Here is a 24,841-nt window from a genome sequence, read left to right on the forward strand (position 1 = left end):
ATTTTAAAAAAAGAATTCGTATGTGATGCAAACATTATCATAAAAGTGATGCACATTTGAAATAATAATGTCCTACATCAGGTACAGCATTTGCTCTTCCATCTATTCCCCTAGTCTGCTCATTACAGTCTGTTTGTTTGTTTGTTTGAGTCACTCTGTTGCCCAGGCTGGAATGAAGTGGTGTGATTATAGCTCACTATAGCTTCAAACACCTGGGCTCAAGTGAGCCTCCTGCCTCAGCCTCCCATACGAGCACATGACACCACCTGGCTAATTTTAAAAAAATTTTTTAGAGCGGAGGTCTCACTATGCTGCCCAGGCTGGTCTCAAACTTCTGGGCTCAAGTGATCCTCCTGCCTTGGCCTCCTAATGTGTTGTGATTACAGACATGAGCTACCATGCCTGGCCCATTATAGTCTTTGGGGTGATTTTCTTTCTTCCCTAGCTTGGCACAGCCACACTCCTGCATTACAGCTCAGATCAGACCTGTGTACACCTGGGATTTCCTAGATGTCAGCAGAAAAGCTTGGAGGGGCCCAAATCCCCACTCTGTTGGAAGCAGAAGCTGCTGCAGAATAAGTGATCTTTATCAGGTCTAAGTGGTAGATGAGTTTTCACAAAAAAATGCAAGCAACCTGAGGTGACTGAAAAGGAAAGGGTCCACATTCCCATTTTTTAACCTCTATTTTATGCACTTCTTTCATCCAAGAAATGTTTTCTAAACTTTTGGGACATAATGGGCTAAGAGAAGCAACAAGATATTATATAAAGGGCAATGAGGCTGGGCGTAGTGGCGCACACCTATAATCTCAACACTTAGGGAGGCTGGGGCAGGTGGATCACTTGAGGCCAGGAGTTCAAGACCAGCCTGGCCAACATGGTAAAAACCCCATCTCTACTAAAATACAAAAAAATAGCCAGGCGTGGTGGCACATGCCTGTAATCTAGTAAGCTACTCAGGAGGCTGAGGCACAAGAATCGCGTGAACCCAGGAGGCAGAGGCTGCAGTAAGCTGAGATCACGCCACTGAACTCCAGCCCGGGTGACAGAGCAAGAATCTGTCAAAAAAAAAAAAGGCAATACTCCAGTGATAACTACATGCAACTCATAATCCTGTTTTCTGGGTCAGAAAATAAAACAGATATTATTGGGACAAAAAGGATATTATTGGGACAATTAGTTAAATTTTAGTATTGACTTTAGATTAGATAATAGTATTATATCAGTGTTAAATTTCCTGACTTTGAGGCCAGGCACGGTGGCTCACGCCTGTAATCCCAGCACTTTGGGAGGCCGAGGTGGGCAGATCGCCTGAGGTCAGGAGTTCGAGACCAGCCTGGCCAACATGGTGGAACCCCATTTCTATCAAAAATACAAAAATTAGCTGGGCATAGTGGCGGGCACCTGTAATCCCAGCTACTCAGGAGGCTGAAGCAGGAGAATCACTTGAACCCGGGAGGTGGAGGTTGCAGTGAGCCAAGATCACACCACTGCGCTCCAGCCTGTGCAACAGAGTAAGACTCCATCTCCAAAAAAAAAATTAAATTCCTGACATTAATACTTCTACTATGCATATGTAATAAATATCCTTATTCTTGGGAAATACATGCTGAAGGATTTAAGGGAAAAGGTCGTAATATATGCAACTGAATCTAAAATGATCCAGAAAAAATAATATGTAAATAATCAGAGACAGAATAAGACAAATAGAGCAAAATATTTTTTAAAAATCAGTGAATCTGACTGAAGGATAAACTGAGGTTCTTTGTACTATTTTTGTAACTTCCCTGTAACTTTGAAATTATTTCAAAATAAAATGGTTTCTAAAATAGATACTGGGGCCAGGCATGGTGGCTCATGCCTGTAATCCCAGCACTTTGGGAGGACAAGGCGAGTGAATCACCTGAGGTCAGGAGTTCAAGACCAGCCTGACCAACATGGTGAAACCCGGTCTCTACTAAAAATACAAAAATTAGCCGGGCGTAGTGGTGTGCACCTGTAATCTCATCTACTCAGGAGGCTGAGGCAGGAGAATCACTTGCACCTGGGAGGCGGAGGTTGCAGTGAGCCCAGATCATGCCACTGCACTCCAGCTTGGGCAACAAGAACAAAACTTCGTCTCAAAATAAATAAATAAATAAATACATACATACATAAAATAAAGTAGTTAATGGTCCAGAAATCGACAGACCTGGGTTCTAGCCATCATGTGTCCATTGGGCAGCTCACTTGGTATCTTTCAGCTCAATTTGCTCATATGGTAAAATAGGGATAATGATGCCTATATGTTCTTTTTTACAGAATTGTTCCAAAACACAAGGCATAATGATGATACCTAAGTGGAAGACTTAGAAAAAACAACAGCTTTAGAGTCAAAAGGCCAACATTTAAATCCATTGCTCTACCACTTTTATGAATATGTTGATCCTATCTTAAGCCTCAGTATTCCCATCTGTAAAATGCGGGCATCGATATGTACCTCAATGGATCATTATGGAGGTAAAATGAAACAATGCCTATAGGAAAACCTTATACAATTTATAGCATGGTAACATATCAGAATAAATAAGAACCATGTATTCCTCTCCAAATGATGCCATAAATTTGGCATAACCATACCTTGTCAATGTCCTCTACTATAAATTAGGTATAACAATACAAAATTATCCAAATGGAGAAAATAACAAAAATACCTTTGTAATATAATGGTCAAAATATTAATACAATAATGTTCTGTTTATTCAGCATTATCAGATAATAATCCATTACAAAAAGTTAATTTTCAATTTAAATAAAGTTTATCCCTTCAAACATTTAGAACTTTTGTAATTTAACCATTTTAATGGAAAGCTAAGCTAACATTTAATTTTCTGCATTCTTTTTGTTGTTGGTGGTGGTGTTGTTTAGAGACAAGGTCTCACTATGCTACCCAGGCTGGACTCGAACTCCTGGACGTAAGCAACCCTCCTGCCTCAGCCTCCTGAGCAGCTAGGACTACAGGCATATGCCATCATGCCCAGCTTTCTGCTTTCTTAAATGGTTTTTGGATGACTCCACTTCATCATTGTGACAACATCAGTCAATCTGAGGCTGTCACATACTCAAAGAATGCTCAGGTATGTAGGACTATTGAACTCTACATAAAATAGACACAAAGCACAATGCTTTATAGGCCTTATATCTGTTTTCCCCAATATTTTCAGGCTCCCCCAATACATACACACACTTCAATTCAATTCCATTGTCACTTCTTTTTCATATCAAAGTTCTGGTGCTAGACTCCTCACTTCACCTCCAAATCCCTAGATTCTGCTTCTAAATTTCTAAGGGGTAGAAACCACATCAGAATTTAAATGAAGAGCCAATAAAATCAGGACAACATTCTCTCCCACGGAATAGTGCACAGCGAAAACCACTTAAGCTATTAGAGACCGTTTTTGGAAAGGCAAGCCTCTAGACTCCCAGCTTTATTCTGGATATTGAGATTATTAGAAATCTGACCTTCAAATGTCCAGTAGTATTAACATAATGAGGTAACAGCAGTGACAATATTCTAACTGATGTGCATGTTAAATCACTTATTCTACTTAGCAACTGGGCCAGACACAGTGGCTCATGCCTCTAATCCCAGCACTTCGGGAGGCCGAGGTGGGCAGATCACTTGAGGCAAGGAATTCGAGACCAGCCTGGCCAACAGGGCGAACCTTGTCTCTACTAAAAATACAAAAATTGGCCAGGCGTGGTGGTGTGTGCCTGTAATCCTAGCTACTCAGGAGGCTGAGGCAGCAGAATCACTTGAACTCGGGAAGCGGAGGCTGCAGTGAGCCAAGATCGTGCTACTGCACTCCAGCCTGGGAAACAGAGCGAGACTCCGTCTCAAAAAAAGATAATAATAATAATTAGCAACTAATCCATGGGCTTATAAATAAAAAAATTAAGCCAGAAAAGCAAAATTACTTGATACACCCTATAGTCTTTAAGTCTCAATCGACATTTCCTCTAGGCATACAGCACTTAATTAGAAAGAACTTTCATTTCCATGATCTCACTTGATTCTCAGAATAATCTTGTGAGGGGAACAGGGTAGGTGTTCTTGATCCCATTTCACATATAGGGAAATTGAGGCACCAAAAGGTGAACTGTACCTAAGATTGCGTGGTTAGCAAAGATTTAAGACTAGAATCCTAATTCTATAAACCCTAGGCCAGTGCTTTCTGCTGGGCCACACTGACTCTCATGAACACACAGGAGCATCTGTCAGTACCCTATCTCTGGAGAACATTTTATTGGCTACAGTCCTGGAGAGGAGGAGTTGTGAACTGTCTCCAAAAAACCCAGGCCCAACAATAAGGTGATTATCACTAGGCAGGGGATTATAAACTTTGCAGACCAAAATCTCTTTTATAGGCTTCAGCAATGCCCTAGAATGCTGAGGACAATGTTCAGAATGTCATAAGACAGCTGGAGATGATCCAGAAAGAGGACAAGAAACTCACCAAGCAAGGGATGTGTTTTTAAGTGAGGTTGCTAACAGAAAAAATACAATTCTTTTGTATGCAAAGATGAGGAATGAGGGCTGAGGGCTGAGGGCTGAAAATACAAATCTTTAAAATCACACAAGGTAAGGATATGTGAATACACTTTTCTTTTTTAAGCAAGTCTAAAAAACCAGAACTTGGAAATTCCTCTTGAAGTTTCAAAGAATCACTTCTAGGACAAATCAAATAACGTCATATTTTCATGAGTAGACTTAGGAAACTCCTTTATGTGGGTTAGAGTTATAAACAGGTTTAAGAAGGAGTTAGAAAAATTAATATGAGGTCAAGATGTAGAGAAATTCGGACTTCCAGGGTATCTAATCACTGTGTGAAGCAATATCATTCTTTTCATCAACTATCTCCTAATGCCACTGTCCAAAACAAAACCCCTGGCCGAATGAATCATGGGTTTGAATCAAAGTAGCAAATCCAACATTTTTATGAGTCAGTTCATGCAAATATTATGGATCCTGAAGAAAACTTTAAAATTATTTATCAAGTTATTCAAAAAATTAAAAATAGAATTACTATATGATACAGCAATTACACTACTGGATATATCTCAGTCCATTTCTGATGCTATAACAAATTACCACAGACTGAGTAATTTATAAAGAACAGAAATTTATTTCTCACAGTTCTGGAGGCTGGGAAATATAAGACCAAGGTGCCGGTAAATTAGGTGTCTGGTGATGGTCCAGGCTCTGCTTCCAAGATGGCACTGCCTCCATAGGGGAGGAATGCCGTGTTCTCACATGGCAGAAGGCCGAAGAGCAAAAAAACAACAACAAAAAAGGCCAGTGCAGTGGTTCACGCCTGTAATCCCAGCTACTCAGGAGACTACGGCAGGAGAATCGCTTGAACCCAGGAGACGGAGGTTGCAGTGAGCCAAGATAGCGCCACTGCACTCCACCCTGGATGACAGACTGAGACTCCACCAAAAAAAAAAAAAGTGGAAGAACAAACTTCTTCCATCAAACCCTTTTATAAGGGTATTAATCCACTGATAATAACAGGGGCCTCATTACTAAACATCTCAGGGGCCTCATTACTAAACATCTCCCAAAAGTCTACACTTCCTAATACTGTTGCATTGGGGATTAAGTTTCCAATACATGCATTTGGGGATACACATTCGCACCATAGCAGGGTATATACCCAAAAGAGTTGAAAGCCAAGGTCTCAAAGAGGTATTTGTACACTCATATTCACAGCGGCATTGTTCACAATAGCCAAAAAGTGGAAGCAACCTAAGTGTCCATCAATAGGTGAATGGATAAACAAAATGTATATGCACATAATGTAATATTATTTCAGCCGTAAAAAGAAATGAAATTCTGACACATGTTACAAGATGGATGTATCAGGGCTAAGGGAAAACTCCCTCCATCCTTGCTGGTTCTCTGAAAAATCAACTGACAAAAGGCAAATTAATAGGAGAAAAGGCATACAATTTATTAATGTGCACAGGAATCATACAAAATATAAGAATTCAAAGAAAGGCAAGGTAGCTGGTGCTTTTATTTTTTTAACTTTTATTTTAGGTTCAGGCATACAAGTGCAGGTTTATTATATAGTTAAATTGCATGTCACGGGGGTTTGGTGTACAGATTATTTTGTCACCCACGTAATAAGCATAGTACAATAGGTAGTTTTTCAACCCTCACCCAATAATTTCCCAATAATGGGATTGTTGGGTCGAATGGTGGTAGTTCTGTTCTAAGTTCTTTGAGAAATCTCCAAACTGCTTTCCGAAGTGGCTGAACCACTGTATAAGTGATCCCTTTTCTCCACAACCTTGCCAGCATCTGTTATTTTTTGACTTTTTAATAATAGCCATTCTGACTGGGGTGAAATGGTATCTCACTGTGGTTTTGGTTTACATTTCTCTAATAATCAGCGATGCTGAGCATTTTTTCATAGGCTTGTTGGCCCCGTATATGTCTTCTTTTGAAAAGTGTCAGTCGTGTCCTTTATACACTTATTAATGAGGCTGTCTGTTTCCTGCTTGTTAATTTGTTTAACTTCCATATAGATTCTGGATATTAGACCTTTGTTGGATGTGTAGTTTGCAAATATATTCTCCCATTCTGTAGCTGGTCTGTTTACTGTGTTGATAGTTTTATTTGCTGCACAGAAGCTCTTTAGCCTAATTAGGTCCCATTTGTCAATTTTTTTGTTTTATTGCAATTGCTTTTGGTGTCTTTGTCATGAAATCTATGCCTGTTCCTATGTCCATAATGGTATTTTCCGAGATTTTCTTCCAGAGTTTGTATAGGGTTGACGCTTTTATACCATCTTGAGGTTACAGAAAGAATGGAAACTCCCTCGAGGCATGGCCAAAAACAGGTTATGGTGGAAAATCAGGTTATGGTGGCAGAACAGGGGGAGAAGAGGAGGCCTGGCTAGCAGAAGTGGTCTTGTTATATAGATAAAACTTCACAGGCAGAGCCCTCAGAGAGAATAGATGGTGAATGTTTATTCAGACCTTTATAGGTGTCAGACTCTCAGTTAATCTTTCCTAGATCTGGACAAGGGAGGGCCTCAGAAAAAAACCTGGCTATATCAGTGCAGATTTTCCCTACAGCTGCAAATGTCCCCAAAAAGACAGCTTTGCAGGGCTACTTCTGTTTACTGGTGCTCTGAACAGTCATCTTAAAATATGACAAAGACGTATATTTTCAGGTGAAATATTTTTGTTTCCTTCAGATGAACCTTAAGAACATTATGCTAAGTGAAATAAACCAGTCACAGCAGGCCAGCCAAAAACTGTATACTTTCCTTTACATGAGGTACTTCCATTTATAGAGTAGTCAAATTCATAAAGACAGAAAGTAGAACAATGGATGCCAGGGGCTGAGGGCAGCTGGGAATGGGGAGTTAAAGTTTAACGTGTATAGTTTTAATTTTACAAGACGATAAGAGTTCTGGAGATGGGTGGTGGTGATGGTTATACAACAATATGAATGTACTTAATCCCACTGAACCAAAGACTTAAAAATGATTAAGATGGTACCTTTATGTTATGTATATTTTATCACAATTTAAAACAATTAAAAATTATTTATCAGACTCTATTAAACAAATCCTTTTTCTTGCCCACATAAGAAGGGTTGAGAATGAAAAGTCTATTTATAAACTGAGAAGAACTTGCCTAAAATGGTACATAAAAAGAAAGACACTAGACCCATCTCAGCTATATACTTGGGGCCTGAAAAGGGAAGAATGCGACTAAATATGGTTTATCATGTGAAAGTTTTTATTTTGTTGTTCAATAGTAATCTTTTGGAGTATTTCTTCATTTATATCAGTTTCAGAAGCATTCTGAAGGTACTGCAGATGTCAGGTGAGAAATTTGAATTCCTGGGTCCTATTCCCACATTGGCCAAGGCTCCCTACAATCACAAAAAGCTTCTGCAGTCACTCAAAGCAAGGCAGGAAGCAAAGGGAGAAGAAAGACAAACAAGTAAAATAGCCTGCCATCAAATGTGAAATTATTCCTCTCCAGCTTGTTCAGGCCCAGTATGCAATAGACCCTATTTATATATTTCTTCTGGGGTTTCTAAATTACTTCTGTAACAACTAGGACATAGTGAGAAGTTCAAAAAGAGGCCAACTTTCTAGAGACAGAGGATGTCTGTATATTCTGTGAGATGATTTATACACACATCTCCATTAATGTACATTAGCCCTGCCCTGCAGCTTCGTCTATCAGAATAACCAACATCAAGGTAATCAAAGCCAATTCTCAGGGGAAGGTGGGCAGATTCAAAGATACAGTGCTGGAAAAGAAGATATCCCTCTACACCCACACCCACATGTTACTGTTACTGTGATTTTCTTCCAAGCCAACACCATCTGCCTATAAAATCCATGCCGTAACCACCTATCCTTCCCCACACGCCCACCCAGGGCCCTTTGTTCAACCTCAGCTCTGACAAAACATGCAAAAAAGGGGTTATCCCTCTCTGTTGCAATTCCAAAAACTAAGAAATCCTAGATAGGGCAGGTTCAGTGGCTCATACCTGTAATCCCAGCACTTTGGGAAGCCAAGGCAGGAGGATCACTTGAGCCCAGGAGTTCAAGACTAGCCTGAGCAATATAATGAGACCCCCATCTCTACAAAAAAACAACAAACAAACAAACAAAATGAAAGAAATCCTAGAGAAAACATTATACTTTGAATTGCCATAAAGCACTCTCATTGCATCTTTAACCTACTCTCTTAATTTAGGTACAAGCAAATCACCAGCTCATAAGGGGGAAGGAAGTCTCTTTACAGTGTATTACACAATATTCATGGGATAAGACAGCCTGGAAAGGGAAGAATATGTGTTAAGAACCAAGGCAGTAGACCAGGTCCCATTATTGACAAGAACTCTGTCTCTCTTAATCCTTAGATGAGCCACTTAACCGTTCTGTCTCAATTTATCTCCTGTAAAATAGGGTCTTATTAATTCATTCAAATAAAATACTTAGAGACTACTGAGGGCCAGGAGTTATGTTAGGCACGTTGACCAGAACTAAAGATTGTTCCCTTTCTCAGTGCCAGTAGAACCACAATGATATAACATCAGACCCAAGAGCACTATAAATAACAATGCTAATCTTTCTCAAATGGTTATTACTGAAAAGGAGGAGAGGATCAGGCATACCAATACCTTATTGGTGAGTGTGGCTGCTGTTATATGCTATCCCAGAAGGCTTTCTGATCAGTCCCCACTTTACTGTCATTGGAATATGGGTAAGGCTGTGTGACTATGAGAAATATGCACTCATATTCCTTTTCTCTTCTCTTTGTGAAGTATATTCTTGAATTTTCAAGTCATAAGCCATATCCAAACACCAATTAAGTTATTAATTACTACAATTTAAGTTTGTTTATGGCACAAGCACTGTCATAAGTATGTTTTTTTAAAATATATACTTAAACAGTAGAGACTAACATTTATTAAGAGTATATTACTTTCAAATATGTTATTTCATGTATACCTTCTATAACCAAGGTTGGTATTACTGTCTCCATTTATAATTGAGGAAACTGAAACTTTAAGAAGTTCATAGCTTGTTCAAATGCCACCCAGATAGTAAATAGGGAATTCAAACCCAGATCTGTGTGCCTCCCAAGCCAATGGTCATTCTGGCAACTAAATGCCATTGTGCTAAGCCTTCCCATTACCATTACTTGCTGATGAGCTCAATTTCCTAGACAGAGAATATGCTGAAACCTAAGCTCAGTAACCTAACTTCAACCAAGACTATGTCTTTAACCACTTTAGTCCCAAATGTTCTTTAGGTGCATAAGAATAAAAAAAGAAGAAGACTTAATTAAAGCCCTGCAGTCCAAAAGTTAGCATTTCCCCTTCCAAACTAGTTTCTACTGCTCTCAAAAGGACAGAGTTAAAGATGGAAGACATCTACAAGGCAACAATCTAATTCCATTCTTTCTCTAGCCACGTCTGTCTTGGCTGATTTAGGTGGCTAGGAAGCAGAGGAGTTGACTCCATGACCTCTCAAGACTCTTTCTAATATTGTAATTCTGATTCTCTTTGCCCTACTTACACATGGGAACCTGTGATTATTCTCTATAGCTAGATTTTGGAGGCCAGATTGCTCCATTTTGAAAAGGTACCATGAATAACATGAGATAGAAACTTATAACTGCCATATTTTTTAAATCTGTATTAAATCATACTAAAATAATCATCCTGAAATAACAAGATCATACCAATCAATCAGAAGGAATTAAGAGTCAGGGAAGCAGAGAGTTGCTCCTGTTCATAACATTTCTTCTCTTTAGACCTCAGTGAAATATTATCTGACCAGCTGGAGAAAGCTTGACTGGGCAATGTGCCCTGTGGTGACTTCTGTGGCTCCTGTCCTGTAGCCTTCACTACTTGGTGTATTACATCATTATTAACTATAAAGGGAACTGCTGTCTGGCCCCTTTAATAAAGAACTTCCCAACTGTGTCAAAGAGAGAAAAAGGTCCCTGTTAGCTTATGACAAATAACATATCAAAAACCATGGGTTTCTCTGCCAACGGAGCTTCAGACTGCTTATATATTACCCAATTGTATAATACACTTTAGGGCTTAATATACCAGTTCAAGGCTGGGTGTGGTGGCCCATGCCTGTAATCCCAACACTTTGGGAGGCCACCGCAGGCAGATCACCTGGGGCCAGGAGTTTGAAATCAGCCTGGCCAACATGGTGAAACCCCATCTCTACTAAAAATACAAAAATTAGCCAGGTGTAATGGTGAATACCTGTAGTCCCAGCGACTCGGGAGGCTGAGGCAGGAGTATTGCTCGAACCCAGGAGGTGGAGGTTGCAATGAGCTGAGATCGTGCCACTGCACTCCAGCCTGGGTGACAGAGCAAGACTCCGTCTCAAAAAAAAAAAATTATATAATATATATATATATATATATATATATATATATATAGAGAGAGAGAGAGAGAGAGAGAGAGAGAGAGAGAGAGAGAGAGCGCTCACTGAAACTTCTGCCTTCTGGGCTCAAGCCATCCTCCCACCTCAGCCTCCTGAGTAGTGGGATTACAGGCGACCATCACCATGCTTGGCTAATTTTTGCATTTTTTTGTACAGGCAGGATTTCACCATGTTGGCCTAGCTGGTCTCGAACTACTGAACTCAAGCAATCTGCCCCACCTGGGCCTCCCAAAGTGCTGGTATTATATATATACCAGTTCAAAGTTCAAAATCAACAAACACATACAAACTATTCAAGGGCTTTGTGAAAAATCCCATCGACTATCTATAATGGGAAAGAGGAAAAAGGAGTTCGTGACCAAATACACAAAGACAGACAGTCAAAAAGGATGAACTGTTTCTGCGCTAGTGAACCAGTGTGTTTCTGAATGCCCACTGGGAAAAGCAAAACCCCTGTATGAGAGTTTCTTGAGATCAGAACTGAGACTGTGTCAGGCCCCGGGGTAGGCAATAGGAATACATCTCTGATGATGAACACTTTGCCCATTCAAACAGGAAAACACCTCATAGCACAACCTGCATTCCAAGCTTTCATTATGTATGCGGGAATAGGTCATTTCCAAAACCACTTCCCTGCATACCTCTCTACACAAACTCAGCAGAAGCTGGACACAAACAAGAAGGTCCAAGGAACACTTAAGGAACTCAATGCCCTGCCCCACCCAACAACAGCCAATTAATGTTGCACAGCCTGTTTTAGTCTTGGAGGGCTATTCTGTATCTATTGCAATGACTCAATTCTGCCACTTTATTGCAAAAGCAGTCACAGACAATATATAAACAAATAGGTGTGGCTATGTGCCAATAAAACGTTATTTATGAAAACAGACATTATTTACGAAAAGAGGAGGTGGACAGGATTTGGCCATGAGCCACAGCATGCTGGCTCCTGCTTTACTACAAATAGATCTCCTTGAGAAATCGAGTTACTATTCCTTTTTATATTTATTTATTTATTTATTTATTTATTTATTTATTTTGAGATGGAGACTTACTCTGTCATGAAGGCTGCAATGCAGTGGCGCGATCTCGGCTCACTGCAACTTCCACCTCTGGGGTTCAAGCAACTCTGCCTCAGCCTCCCAAATAGCTGGGATTACAGGTGCATGCCACCACACCCAGCTAATTTTTGTATTTTTAGTAGATACGGAGTTTTGCCATGTAGCCCAGGCTTGTCTGGAACTCCTGACCTCAGGTGATCCACCCATTTGGCCTCCCAAAGTGCTGAGATTATAGGCGTGAGCCACCACGCCCAACCTCAAGTGACTATTCCTTATCCCCTCTCTCTTCTGCCCAGGACTTCTGGAAAGGAGCAAAAAGCAAAGGTGCAAGGCTAAGAAGTTTCCCTCTATCAGTTATTCTCAAAAGCAGAAGCTACAAAAGACTTCAAAGTAAAAGATACCTGTGGGTATCCCATATACTTATTTCTACTTATCACCATTAAAAAACAAAAATCTTTGCTGGTTTAATGGAGAGACCAGAGCTGCCTTCTCTGGTGTGCCAATAGGATGACACATGTTTTCTATTAAACATCACATTATTAACTCCTGCCATTAGAAATATTAAAGGCACAGTTGACCAGCAGCTTTCAGAACAACTGGAAGCCACTGGGTGGAAGGGTGGGGAAACACACTTTGGGAAAGCCAGTTCTAAAGGGAGCTGCTGACTCCTTAGAGGTAAGACTGCTACTAAAAAAGGAAACCCTCCCTGAAGAGAAGAACTGCCAAGCAACCGCCTCCTTGCCCAGTGGCCAATTCAATGAATGCTTCAATCAGCCAGACCTTGCTGGACTTGTTAGACCTGACAAAACAACGGCAATAGCTTTGGTAATAATGTCAGACAGGGGCTTGTACAAAATTGCCTGCTGCAATGGAAATCTCTATAATGAGCTCTGCTGAAAACACATGCCAATTATGCCCATATTGCCAGAGGAGCAGAAGCTGATTAAAGGCATATGGGTAAGAAGGAGGCAAAAGAACTGGTCCTAAATATACTACCATAGCATACCTATATTTATGAGCCCCTCTGAATGTCAGAGGCTGCCTAACACATGGCATAAGAAGATCCAAAAGACTTGAAATCACAGTTTGAAGGTGAATCATTAGAGCAGGGATGGCTGGCTAGGAGGGCAATTTTCAAAACAATGCACAATAAGGCAAGGTCTCTAAGAGGGCTTCCTCAGGTCCTAGAGGGAAAAGGAGATACTGGCAGACACAGGCAACCCCGAGGAGGATACATGACAGGGTTTTACAGAGACTGAGCTGTGTGCAAAGATGGTATTAGGAGGAGAGGCTCAAGGAGCAGGAGAGGGCTGAGTGCAAAGCCAGGCCAGCTGGGACAGACATCAGGGAGAATCAGGTAACTACAATGGCAAGACACCATACAGGAAGGCCCAGAGACGCAGACTTCCCAAACGCACCCTACAAGGCATAACCATTGACCTCCTTCTATAATACATCATAATATAGTAAAAAATTTTCCACCTCTAGGAGCCAGAAGATCTGGGTTTGAATCCCAACTTGCCACACACTAGTGGAACAATTTTGAGCAAATAACTTCTCTGAATTTAAATTTCCTCATCTGTAAAACAAGGGACCATTATCTGCCCTTGGTGACTTCACCTGTCTGAGAGCACTAATAATGCCCTGCCTGATTAGTTCAAAGGGTTGTTGTAAAGATCAAATCGAGATCATAGGTGAAACTTGTTGAACTGAAAAATACTAAGAAGGAAATTATACTGTGATTATTTTTACGAAGTATTATGTGTGGTATCACTACAAACACACAACTCCATTTAAGGATGAAACTGGTTCCAAGCAAGATAGAAGCCCCAGCTTTCCCTCCACTTCTTTTTTTTTAAATTTTTTGTTGTTGTTGTTTGTTTGTTTTTTTGAGATGGAGTTTTTCTCTGTCACCCAGGCTAGAGTGCAGTGGTGCGATCTCGGCTCACTGCAACCTCCGCCTCCCGGGTTCAAGCGATTCTCCTGCCTCAGCCTTCGAAGTAGCTGGGATTACAGGTGCCTGCCACCATGCCCAGCTAATTTTTTTTTTGTATTTTTAGTAGAGACAGGGGTTTCACCATGTTGGCCAGGCTGGTCTTGAACTCCTGACCTCAAGTGATCTGCCCGCCTCGGCCTCCCAAAGTGCTGGGATTATGGCCTTTCTCTCCTCTGCTACTCTGCTAGCGTGGCCATCCAATTCCTGGCTAAGTTGTTACTCAATTAGCACACTGGCACCCCGCACTTCCCCATTTAGTACCATTACAGAACAATCATCCCCAAACTCAACATTCACAGGTAACTTGGGCTAAATGATGTCTGCACCATCTATGAAACTTCTAGAATAAAAAAGCAAGTAGTCTATAAAATACCATCCTACTTTTCCTCTTTCTTAACTCCTTAACAATTTTTTTTTTTTTTTTTTTTGAGACAAGGTCTGGCTCTGTCAACCAGGCTGGAGTGCAGTGGTGTGATCACGGCTCACTGCAACCTCTGCCTCCTGGGCTCAAGCCATCCTCCCACCTCAGCCTCCTGAGTAGTTGAGATTACAAGTGAGCGCCACCATACTTGGCTAAATTTTGTATTTTTTGTACAGGCAGGATTTCACCATGTTGGCCAGGCTGGTCTCGAACTACTGAGCTCCAGCAATCTGCCCCATCTGGGCCTCCCAAAGTCCTGGTATTATGGACGTGAGCCACCACGCCCCACCACTACTTTATAATTTTCTAGTTTTTTTCCACCCTAAAGACGTAATGAAAAATGCCCAAGGTTACTCCCTCCTTTATCACCAATATGCATCTTCCCCAATTTTTTTTAACCACCTCACTGGCTTCAGGCAATTCTCCTTTAAAGACATCTACCTTGGTCTGGACTGTCTTCCTCAGCAGCCTTCACAGAATAGCACATAGAAATTCTTACCACAAGCTCAGGTGTCTCAGCCCTGTCAGCTACCCACTTCTCTAATGCTGTTCTCCAGCTTTCAAACATTTTCTAATGGCCACCACTTCCTATGGGTATGTGTACAGACGGCTACTTCCGTTTCTCTACAGAAGGCCCCAGATGTCTTCTTGACACTTCTACTTTCTGAACTATGTATTCTTCTGTACAGCACTTATATTCTCTTTCATCACTAAAGGGAATAAAAACAATGGGGAACCGTGGAAAGAATACACAGAAAATCTAAGTCTTGGCTCAACTACTGACTAGCTATGCAATCTTAGGGAAGTACCTAGGTTCTCTAAATCTTAGTTTCCTCATCTATAAATTGGAGGTAATTTAACACATTTCTTCCCTGTTTAGTTATAGAATGTATGTTAAAGTGCCTGGTATACTGTAAAGAGCTTTGCAAATGGCAGTTTATACCTACATCTACCTATATATCCACATCCTAAAACCCAACTCAATTTGTATTAGAGTTGCTTCTTCCTCATTCATAAATGGATTCTCTAGATTTCACATATTTGGGGGAAAGATCTATTATAGAAGGTCTGTCTCTTGATCTTCTATTTTTATCAAGCTCCTACTAGGCAAAGGCTAACCAGAAAAACTCCAGAAGTAACTTCAGACTCCCTGAACCTTCCCCTACTTCATTCCTGCAGGTCTGTAAAATGCTTGGCTGCCTTCAGGCTGACACTGAACGTGCATTCTTGGCAAGATGCATTGAAGAAAAAACAACTCTTTTCTTTCTTTCACAAGCTGAAAGTGATTCTCAACAGAAAAAAAAAAAAAAAAAAATCACAGTCTCAGCAAAGAGAGTTCCTGAAGGGTAGAAACTGTTTTCATGAAGCACAGTAGGACCGATTATTGGTTTCAGTACTGATTTTGTGACTAACTGGCTCTGTGACCTTGGACAAGGAACACCCCTCATAGGCTTCGGTTTCCTCATCTGAAATATGAAGGCATTAAATGAAATGTTGAAAAGGCCCCTCGAACTCTGAGTCCAATTCCAGCAAGATACTGCCGATTAGTCAAAGAAAAGGAAATTGTTAAATACAAATAGCATCTGCTCTTCACAAAGCAAAAGCAAACAAAATTCCAAGAAGCCCCAGCTTTCCCTCCCCTTCTACTCTGCTTTCATTGTTATCCAATCCCTGGCTGAGTTGTTACCCAATTAGCACACTGGTACCCCTAGCTTTCCCATTTAATGCCATTACAGAACAATCATCCCCATAATCCCTCAAATACTGGGCATGGATTCTAGAAGACAAACCTCTCCACATCAACCAAACAGGGAAAAAAATCAATATTTCCCATGTTTTAGAGCAAAAGAAATTCAGCATAGTGATGATGGTGGCAGAGGCATTTTCTTTACAATGCTCCAGGTTTGTTTTTTGTTTTTTTTCTGTACTCAACAAAAGTTGTAAGGGGCAGCTATAAAACACCTCAATGCCTTATTACCCACCCTCTTCCTCCCACCTAATGAATTCAGGATGGATGAATTCAAGATTAGTCTCCAGCTGTCAATTGCCACATACATAATATATATTTTTCCAATCACAGAGAAAAGCTTTTCCATGACAGCCTGGCTCTGGAAAGAGTTGGAAGTTGAAGTGTGGCCCTCCTGCTTCTGGGAAGTCCTTAATGAAAACCTTTTGTAAAGAACTGCCTTGGAGTTCCTCATATGGCACTATAGTGCTGGACTTACTGCTCACCACTTGTGAAAAATTCCAAGCTGCCTTAGGATAAAAATAATATGGGGAAGGACTTTGTCACTCGTTAGTAATGCCACACGTTTCCCAATATATACTACTCACTACATGAAAAGCAGCTGTGTTTGCCCTAAGAGGTCGACAGATGAGCAAAGAGGGGAGACTTTGGGAACTGCTCAACCAGCTGGTGTAGGCTCTTGGGGCAGAAAACAAAGAGGACAGGTATCACACCACCAAGATGTATTGCCATTATTCTATGACAAAGGAAACAGAACACAACCAGACCCTAATTAAACTGAGCTAGATTGCTCAACAGGGAAATCACTTGATCCTAGCCCTAATGGGGAGGAAATACTGAAAAGAAACCTTCCACTAATGCAATTTTTGCTGCCATCTGGGTCATTTCAAACAAAAGCACCCCTAGCCCCGATAAAGAACATCAAGACAGTTGAAATGCAAGCTACCTGCTTGCAGAAAGAGCCTTGGACCCAGCACTTTGGGAGGCTGAGGTGGAGGATCGCTTGAGCCCAGGAGTTTGAGAGCACCCTGGGCAACAAGACAACAAAATCCCATCGCTACAAAAAATTTAAAAATTAGCCAGGCATGGTGGCACGTGCCTGTGGTCCCAGCTACTTGGGAGGCTGAGGTGGGAGTATCGCTTGGGGTTGGGATTCAAGGTTGCAATGAGGAAAGACAGACAGAAAGAGAGAGAGAGGGAGAGAAAGAAAAAGAAAGAGAAAGAAAAAGAAAGAAAGAAGGAAGGAAGGGAAGGAGGGAGGGAGGGAGGAAAGAAAGAAGGGAGGGAAGAAAGAAAGAAAAAGAAAAGAAAAAGAGAGAGAGAAAGAAAGAAAAAGGAAGGAAGGAAGGAGGGAGGGAGGAAAGAAGAAGAAAGGGAAAGGGAAGAAAGAGAAAGAAGGAAAGAGAGAGAGAGAAAGAAAGAAAGGAAGGAAGGAAGGAAGGAAGGAAGGATGAAAGAAGAAAGGGAAAGGGAAGAAAGAAAGAGAGAGAGGGAGGGAGGGAGGGAGGGAGGGAAAAAGAAAGAAAGAAAGAGAAAGAGGAAAGGAAAAGAGAAAAGAAAAGAAAAAAGAAAAGAAAAGAAAAGGCCTTGGAAAGGGAAACCAGGAAATCTGATTCTGGTCACAATTCCGACTCTAGCTCTAGGTCTCTGGAGAAGTAACTCTCTGTCTTGACTTTCTTTTCCCTACATATAAACCCAGTGGAGTAGATATGTAGCTTTCTTTTTTTTTTTTTTTTTCTTTTTTTGAGACGGAGTCTCGCTGTGTTGCCCAGGTTGGAGTGTAATGGCTCGATCTCGGCTCACTGCAAGCTCCGCCTCCTGGGTTCACTCCATTCTCCTGCCTCAGCCTCCTGAGTAGCTGGGACTACAGGCGCCCACCACCACGCCCAGCTAATATTTTGTATTTTTAGTAGAGACAGGGTTTTGCCGTGTTAGCCAGGATGGTCTCTATCTCCTGACCTCGTGATCTGCCCGCCTCGGCCTCCCAAAGTGCTGGGATTACAGGCATGAGCCACCGCGCCCAGCCATAGATGTGTAGCTTTCTAAACAACCTTCCAGGTCTGATGTTCTATAAGATAGAGCTAAAGGAAGATATAGGTATATAAGACAAGCGCCTGTCACCTGTTTCTCCAAACACAATGTTTTTTTTTTTTTCAAACAGCTCTGAGATACGACTCACACACCATAAAATGGCTCACAGAGCTGTACAACCATCACTGCAATCCAATCTTAAAAAATGTTCATGACCCCAAAGAGAAACCCTTTACCCATTAGCAGTCCCAATACATTCCAACCCCCCAGCTTAGCAATCACTAACCTGATACTCTCTCTAATAGATCTGCTTATCTGGACATTTCATATGAAAGGAATCATGAACAATAGGTAGTCATTTATAACACTTTTCTCACTTATCCTAAGGTTTTCAAAGTTCATCCTTATTGTACCATGTGTCAGTACTTCATTACTTTTTATTGCCAAATACTATTCCATTGTATGTCTATACTACCTTTTATTTATCCATTTTTCAGTTGATGGACATTTAGAGGTTGTTTCCACTTTTTGGCCATTATAAATAATTCTACTATGGGCCAGTCATGGTGGCTCACGCCTGTAATTCCAGCACTTTCAGAGGCCGAGGTGGGCTGATCACCTGAGGTCAGGAGTTCGACACCAGTCTGGCCAACATGGTGAAACCCCGTTTCTACTGAAAATACAAAAATTAGCCGGGCGTGGTGGCGGACACCTATAATCCGAGCTACTCAGGAGGCTGAGGCAGGAGAACCGTTTGAACCCAGGAGGCGGAGGTTGCAGTGAGTCAAGATCGTGCCACTGCACTCCAGCCTGGGCAACAGAGCTAGACTCCATCTCAAAATAAATAAATAAATAAAAATAAAAATAAAAAAAAAATCACACACTGAATTTCCTCTTCATACTCTTCTCACAATTGTAATTAATTATTTAAGAGGGTAATTTGATATTTAACATATGTTCCAAAAGGGCAGAGTCTATAGTATTCTTATTCACCACTGTATCCCCAGTTTCCAGGACAGTACCTGACACATAGTAGGTGCTTAGTAAAACCTTCTTGAATTAAACTGAATTGCCTTTACATTGCCCAAGGTTTAGCACTTGATACAAGCCTGGTAAAGGATCATGAGGGCCTTCCACTCCACTAGAAAATAAAATCAGCTCAAGATTTCCAGGGTACTCCCATGGAAAAGTGTGTAACTTTCCAGATCCTCATAGGCTTTTAGGAAATTTCTGTAGTAACTGATTAGAGAAACAGATGCCAGATTAAACAAAAGGTTTTGGCTATGCTTAAAAAAAATAAGGCTATAAAAATGAGGCTGAAAGGTAAAGTTCCTTCATCACTCTAGAGTCTGATTGGAAAACTTTTCTTAACAGGCAAGTCAAGCTAAAATCTTCCCTACCCCAGCCTGGCACCATCCTCTACTCCCAAATAAGAATAGTTTCTTATAAATGGACACACTGAAAGGTTGGCTTGGTTCACTTTTCAATCCTAGTTCCCACAGCAGCCACAGTCCAGCTACTCTGGAATCTGGTCTTGTGAGGAACTCCAATGAATATGGCAATATATCACCTCTGTCAAATTCCATTTAGCATTGCTTCACATCTATTAATACTAACAGCAGTACCAAATGACATACCCATTATATTGATCTGAGTTACTCTGGAGAAGATGTAAAATAACTCCATGTGCTCAGAGGCACTGATTAAATATCACTGGGAAAATGACAAGATACCTGCTGAGCAAGAATGCATATTATATCACCAACTCCTCCCGCACACCATGGCACTACACCCATCCCAAAGGGATTAAAAGCTTTGGGGTCCCTCAGTATAGAGCTATTCAGAACAGAACTGAAGGGAATCAGGTGGAGACCTACCAAGAAGCATTCAATGAGAGGATAGTCAAGTAGGTCAGCAAGTCATCTACTCATGCTGGACATACTACTTGGATTTTCCCTTTGCCTATTCTCCCAGAGTGAAGATGAATTGGCTCCTAAAGTTTATGATAGAATCAATTCACATTGTTTGACCATTTGACTAGCATGGTGGTAGCCAGAAAACAAAATAATAAAACCAGAAAGAACCGTAAATATTATTGACCAAGCCTCTAATTTTATAAAATGGGAAAACTGAGACCGACAAAACTAAAGACATGTTTAAAGTCATATAGCTAGCTAGTGGCAGAATTGGAATCAACCCATCCTTCCAGGAAAGCAACCACTCACCAGATAGGTGCTCCGGTTGCCAAAGTGAAAGCTGCAAAGGTACCCCAAAAGGTGACCTTAATGTAAACATCTAAAACTCTAACTTTAAAAGCAAAGAATGTAAGACAGTGACCTTTTTTTAAAAAATTAAGATTGAGTTATTAAAACTATAGAATTATTTCTACTTTATCAATTTTATGTACATTTAGAGTACTGAATGCATCTTTTGGATTTTTTTTTTTTGAGACAGGCTTGAGCCAATGCACCTGGACTGGATTCTTTTTTTTTTTTTTTTTTTTTTTTTTTAGAGAGGGAGACAGGGTCTCACTCTGTAGCCCAGGCTGGAGTGCAGTGGAGTGATCTCTGCTCACTGTAACCTCTCTGCCTCCAGGGCTCAAGCAATCCTCCCACCTCAGCCCCCTGAGTAACTGGGACTACAGGCACGCACCACCATGCCCAGCTAACTTTTCATATTTTTTGTAGAGACAAGGTTTCGCCATGTTACACAAGCTGGTCTCAAACTCCTAGACTGAAACGACCCACCCGCCTTGGCTTCCAAAAGTGCTGGGATTACAGGCGTGAGTCACCAAGCCCGACCCTGGATTCTTTTAAAACATAAGTTTTCAGCTGGGCACAGTGTCTCACGCCTGTAATCCCAGCACTTTGGGAGGCCGAGATGGGTGGATCACTTGAGGTCAGGAGTTCGAGACCAGCCTGGTCAGCATGGTGAAACCCCGTCTCTACTAAAAATACAAATATTAGCTGGGCGTGGTAGCGCACGCCTGTAATTCCAGCTACTTGGGAGGCTGAGGCACCAGAATCGCTTGAACCCAGGAGGTGGAGGTTGCGGTGAGCCGAGATGGCACCACTGTACTCCAGCCTGGGTGACTGAGTAAGACTCTGTCTCAACAACAACAAAAAAAACATGAGTTTTCATTAGTCCAAGAGAGCCTATGTATGTGTGGTTGTGCACGTATATATGTGGGTTTAGTGATATATTTTTTTTCTGACATCTGTTTTATATATATATATATATACATACACAGAGGCTGGGCGTGATGGCTCACACCTATAATGCCAACACTTTGGGAGACTGAGGTGGAAAAAACATTTGAGCCCAGGAGTTCAAGACCAACCTGAGCAACATGGCAGGACCGCATCTCTCCAAAAAAAAAAAAAAAAAATTAGTTAGCTAAGATTGGTAGTGTGTGCTTGTAGTCCCAACTACTCAGGAGGCTGAGTCCGGAAGATCCTTTGAGCCCAGGAGTTCGAAGTTGCAGTGAGCTATGATGGTGCCACTGTACTTAAAAGTATGCCACTCTGGGTGACAGAGTGAGACTCTGTCTCTTAAAACAAACAAAAAAAAAAAAACAAAAACATACTTATAAAGCACATTATCCTTGGTTTGGAAAAGGGTATTTAGAAATTCTCTTTTAGGCCAGGCACAGCGGCTCACACCTGTAATCACAGCACTTTGGGAGGCTGAGGCAGGCAGATCACTTGAGGTCGAGAGTTCGAGACCAGCCTGGACAGCATGGTGAAACCCCATCTCTACTAAAAAAAAAAAAAAAAAAAATTACAAAACTTAGCATGGGCATGGTGGCATGCGCCTGTAGTCCCAGCTACTTGAGAGGTTGAGGCATGAGAATCACTTGAACCCCGGAGGCGGAGGTTGCAGTGAGCCGAGATTGCGCCACTGCACTCCAGCCTGGGCAACACAGTGAACTCTGTCTCAAAAAAAAAAAACAACAACAACAACAAAAAATTCTGTTTTAATTTTTTGTTAAATTAAATACTGTCATTTACACTAAAATAATGTGAAATTTTATGTAAGCGTAAAATAAGGTCCTGTAATTGGGTTAGTCATTCCTTTCTCAAATCATGAAACTATAATATGCCATGCAAAACATAGTAAGTCATAGAATGTTAGAGCTCAAAGTGGGTTTATAAACCTCCCACCCCAGCCCCATCTTTGTAAAGCCACAGACCCTGGGGTCCCAGTGAAATCGCTTATCAAGGTCACAGATCCCATAACAGAACCAGCACCTTACTCAGGTATCTAGATGCCATGTCCAGGGTTTTGTCCCATTATACCATCATTTCGCCTCTGCTCATTTGCAAAGAGTATCCATTGTTGCTTCCCCAGGAAAGCCCCTATCTGAAGACTGTCATCCTCTATTTTCCTAGCCCATTAGAGTCCAAGAGCCAGACTTGTAGAGCTGTATCATTTAGCTCAGGGGTTGCAACCTGATTGAATCTGGCCTATGAAAATGTTTTATTTAGCTAGCACAATTAAAAAAAAAAAAAAGAATGTAGGCTGGGCGTGGTGGCTCACGCCTGTAATCCCAGCACTTTGGGAGGCTGAGGCTGGTGGATCACTTGAGGCCAGGAGTTCGAGACCAGCCTGGCCAACATGGTGAAATCCTGTCTCTACTAAAAATACAAAAATTAGCTGGGCATGGTGGCTGTAATCCAGCTCCTCAGGAGCCCAAACCTCCCTTTCTGTTGCCTATACCCCAGATGACTCAAATTATTTGCTGTCCCCTTTATATTCTGTGTCACTCCCGCTACATGAAATGCCCTGTCCTGAATAGTGTCATGCAGTAGGATAAGCAGGGCCTTTAGAGTCAGGTCTAGGTTCTAATTCAGACACTTGCCCTTACTAGTTGAGAAAGTTACTTAACTCATCTGAACTTCAGTTTCCTCATCTAAAAAATGGGAATAATAATCCTTATCTCAAAAATCTGTTACAAGATGTAATGCCTGACACATGGGAACAGCTAAACAAGTGATAGTGTTATTAATTCTACCCAACTCTGATGGTGCTTCTTCCTTGGCTTCTCCCTTGTGCTCCCACTGGGAAATCAGCTTTCCCTCTCATGTCATATATCATCAGGTCCACCTGTTCCCACTTTTATGGCTCTCATCTGTATCTACTACCTTATATGACAATCATTTCTATCCACGTCTTGTCTCTCCCACCAGCCTAAGAACCTCTTGAAAGCAGTATCCATCTGTGACTCATTCTGTATGCCTGACAGCTCCAAGAACAATGACTTGAACACGGTATGTGTCCAAGTATGTATTGAATGAATAGTATGCATTCGCTAACTATATATAACACTTATTAGATGTGTCATGCTGCTTTGTGATATGAGCAGGGGCCACATCACTTGTTCTGAATAATGCCTAGCCTCAGGGCTTAGCAAATATTCAAACAACATTGGGGACTGAAGCTACCAATATAAAAATAAAGGACAAACAGAAAAGTTGGCAATATAGTCACCTTTCAGAGGGATGGTATTTTTATTTTCCATTAGTTTAAGTTATAATCACCTTGCACTTCAACAATTATGAAGAGATCACATTTAAGCAAGAGGAGTTCCAACTACTTCTGCTTATGCATTTCCCTTCAGAAACCTACAGAAAATGACACATTCACCAACAGATATATTAAGAATCCGAAGATGTATTATCAACAACTTTGTTTAGCCATTTCCATTTACAGATCATTTTCATAATCCATTAATTTCTTTGAGCCTCACAACAATCTTGGGAGGTGGGTATAATTACCCCGATTTTACAGACGAAGTAAAAGTGATTTGGGGCCAGGCACGGTGGCTCATGCCTGTAATTCTTGCACTTTGGGAGGCCAAGGGGGGGCGGACTGCCTGAGCTCAGGAGTTCAAGACCAGCCTGGGCAACAAGACAAAACCCCGTCTCTACTAAAAAAAATACAAAATTTAACTGGGCGTGGTGGTAGGTGCCTGTAATCCCAGCTACTCAGGAGGCTGAGGCACGAGAATTGCTTAAACCCGGGAGGCGGAGGTTGCAGTGAGCTGAGATCATGCCACTCCACTCCAGCTCGGGCAACAGAGCATGACTCTGTCTCCAAAAAAAAGTGATTTGGCTGGGTGTGGTGACTCACGCCTATAATCCCAACACTTTGAGAGGCCGTGGTGGGAGGCTTGCTTGAGCCCAGGAATTCCAGATCAGCCTGGGCGAGATCAGTGAGACCCAGTTTCTAAAAAAAATTAAAAATTAGCCAGGCATAGTGGCGTGTACTTGGAGTCCAGCTACTGGGGAGACTGAGGTGGGAGGATCACTTGAGCCCAGGAATTAGAGGTGACAGTGAGCTATGATTGTGCCACTGTACTCCAGCCTGGGCAACAAAGCAAGACCCTGTCTCTAAAACAAGAAAAATGAAAAGTGATTTGTGGGACCAAGTGCAGTGGCTCATGCCTGTAATCCCAGCACTTTGGGAGGCCAAAGTGGATGGATCACCTGAGGCCATGAGTTCGATACCAGCCTGGCCAATATGGTGAAACCCATCTCTACTAAAAACACAAAAACTAGCCAGATCTGGTGGTGTGTGCCTGTAGTCCCAGCT

At 41.5% G+C, this 24,841-nt stretch overlaps 1 protein-coding gene across 6 annotated transcripts in view, besides 1 other annotated feature; it reads right to left on the minus strand.

Annotated features, from left to right (window-relative positions):
• Nucleotides 1-24,841, minus strand: part of OPHN1 (oligophrenin 1) — a 391,498-nt gene that overhangs the window by 362,739 nt on the left and 3,918 nt on the right. The gene's annotated exons all lie outside the window — the stretch shown is intronic.
• Nucleotides 10,245-10,539: a silencer, noted in NCBI's record as "tiled region #7273; HepG2 Repressive non-DNase unmatched - State 24:Quies". NCBI's record gives its function as "represses a minimal TATA promoter and a strong SV40 promoter by Sharpr-MPRA in HepG2 cells {active_cell/tissue: HepG2}" and the evidence as "EXISTENCE:reporter gene assay evidence [ECO:0000049][PMID:27701403]".

The sequence above is a fragment of the Homo sapiens genome, chromosome X (assembly GCF_000001405.40).
Source record: "Homo sapiens chromosome X, GRCh38.p14 Primary Assembly".
Classification (NCBI taxonomy): domain Eukaryota; kingdom Metazoa; phylum Chordata; class Mammalia; order Primates; family Hominidae; genus Homo; species Homo sapiens.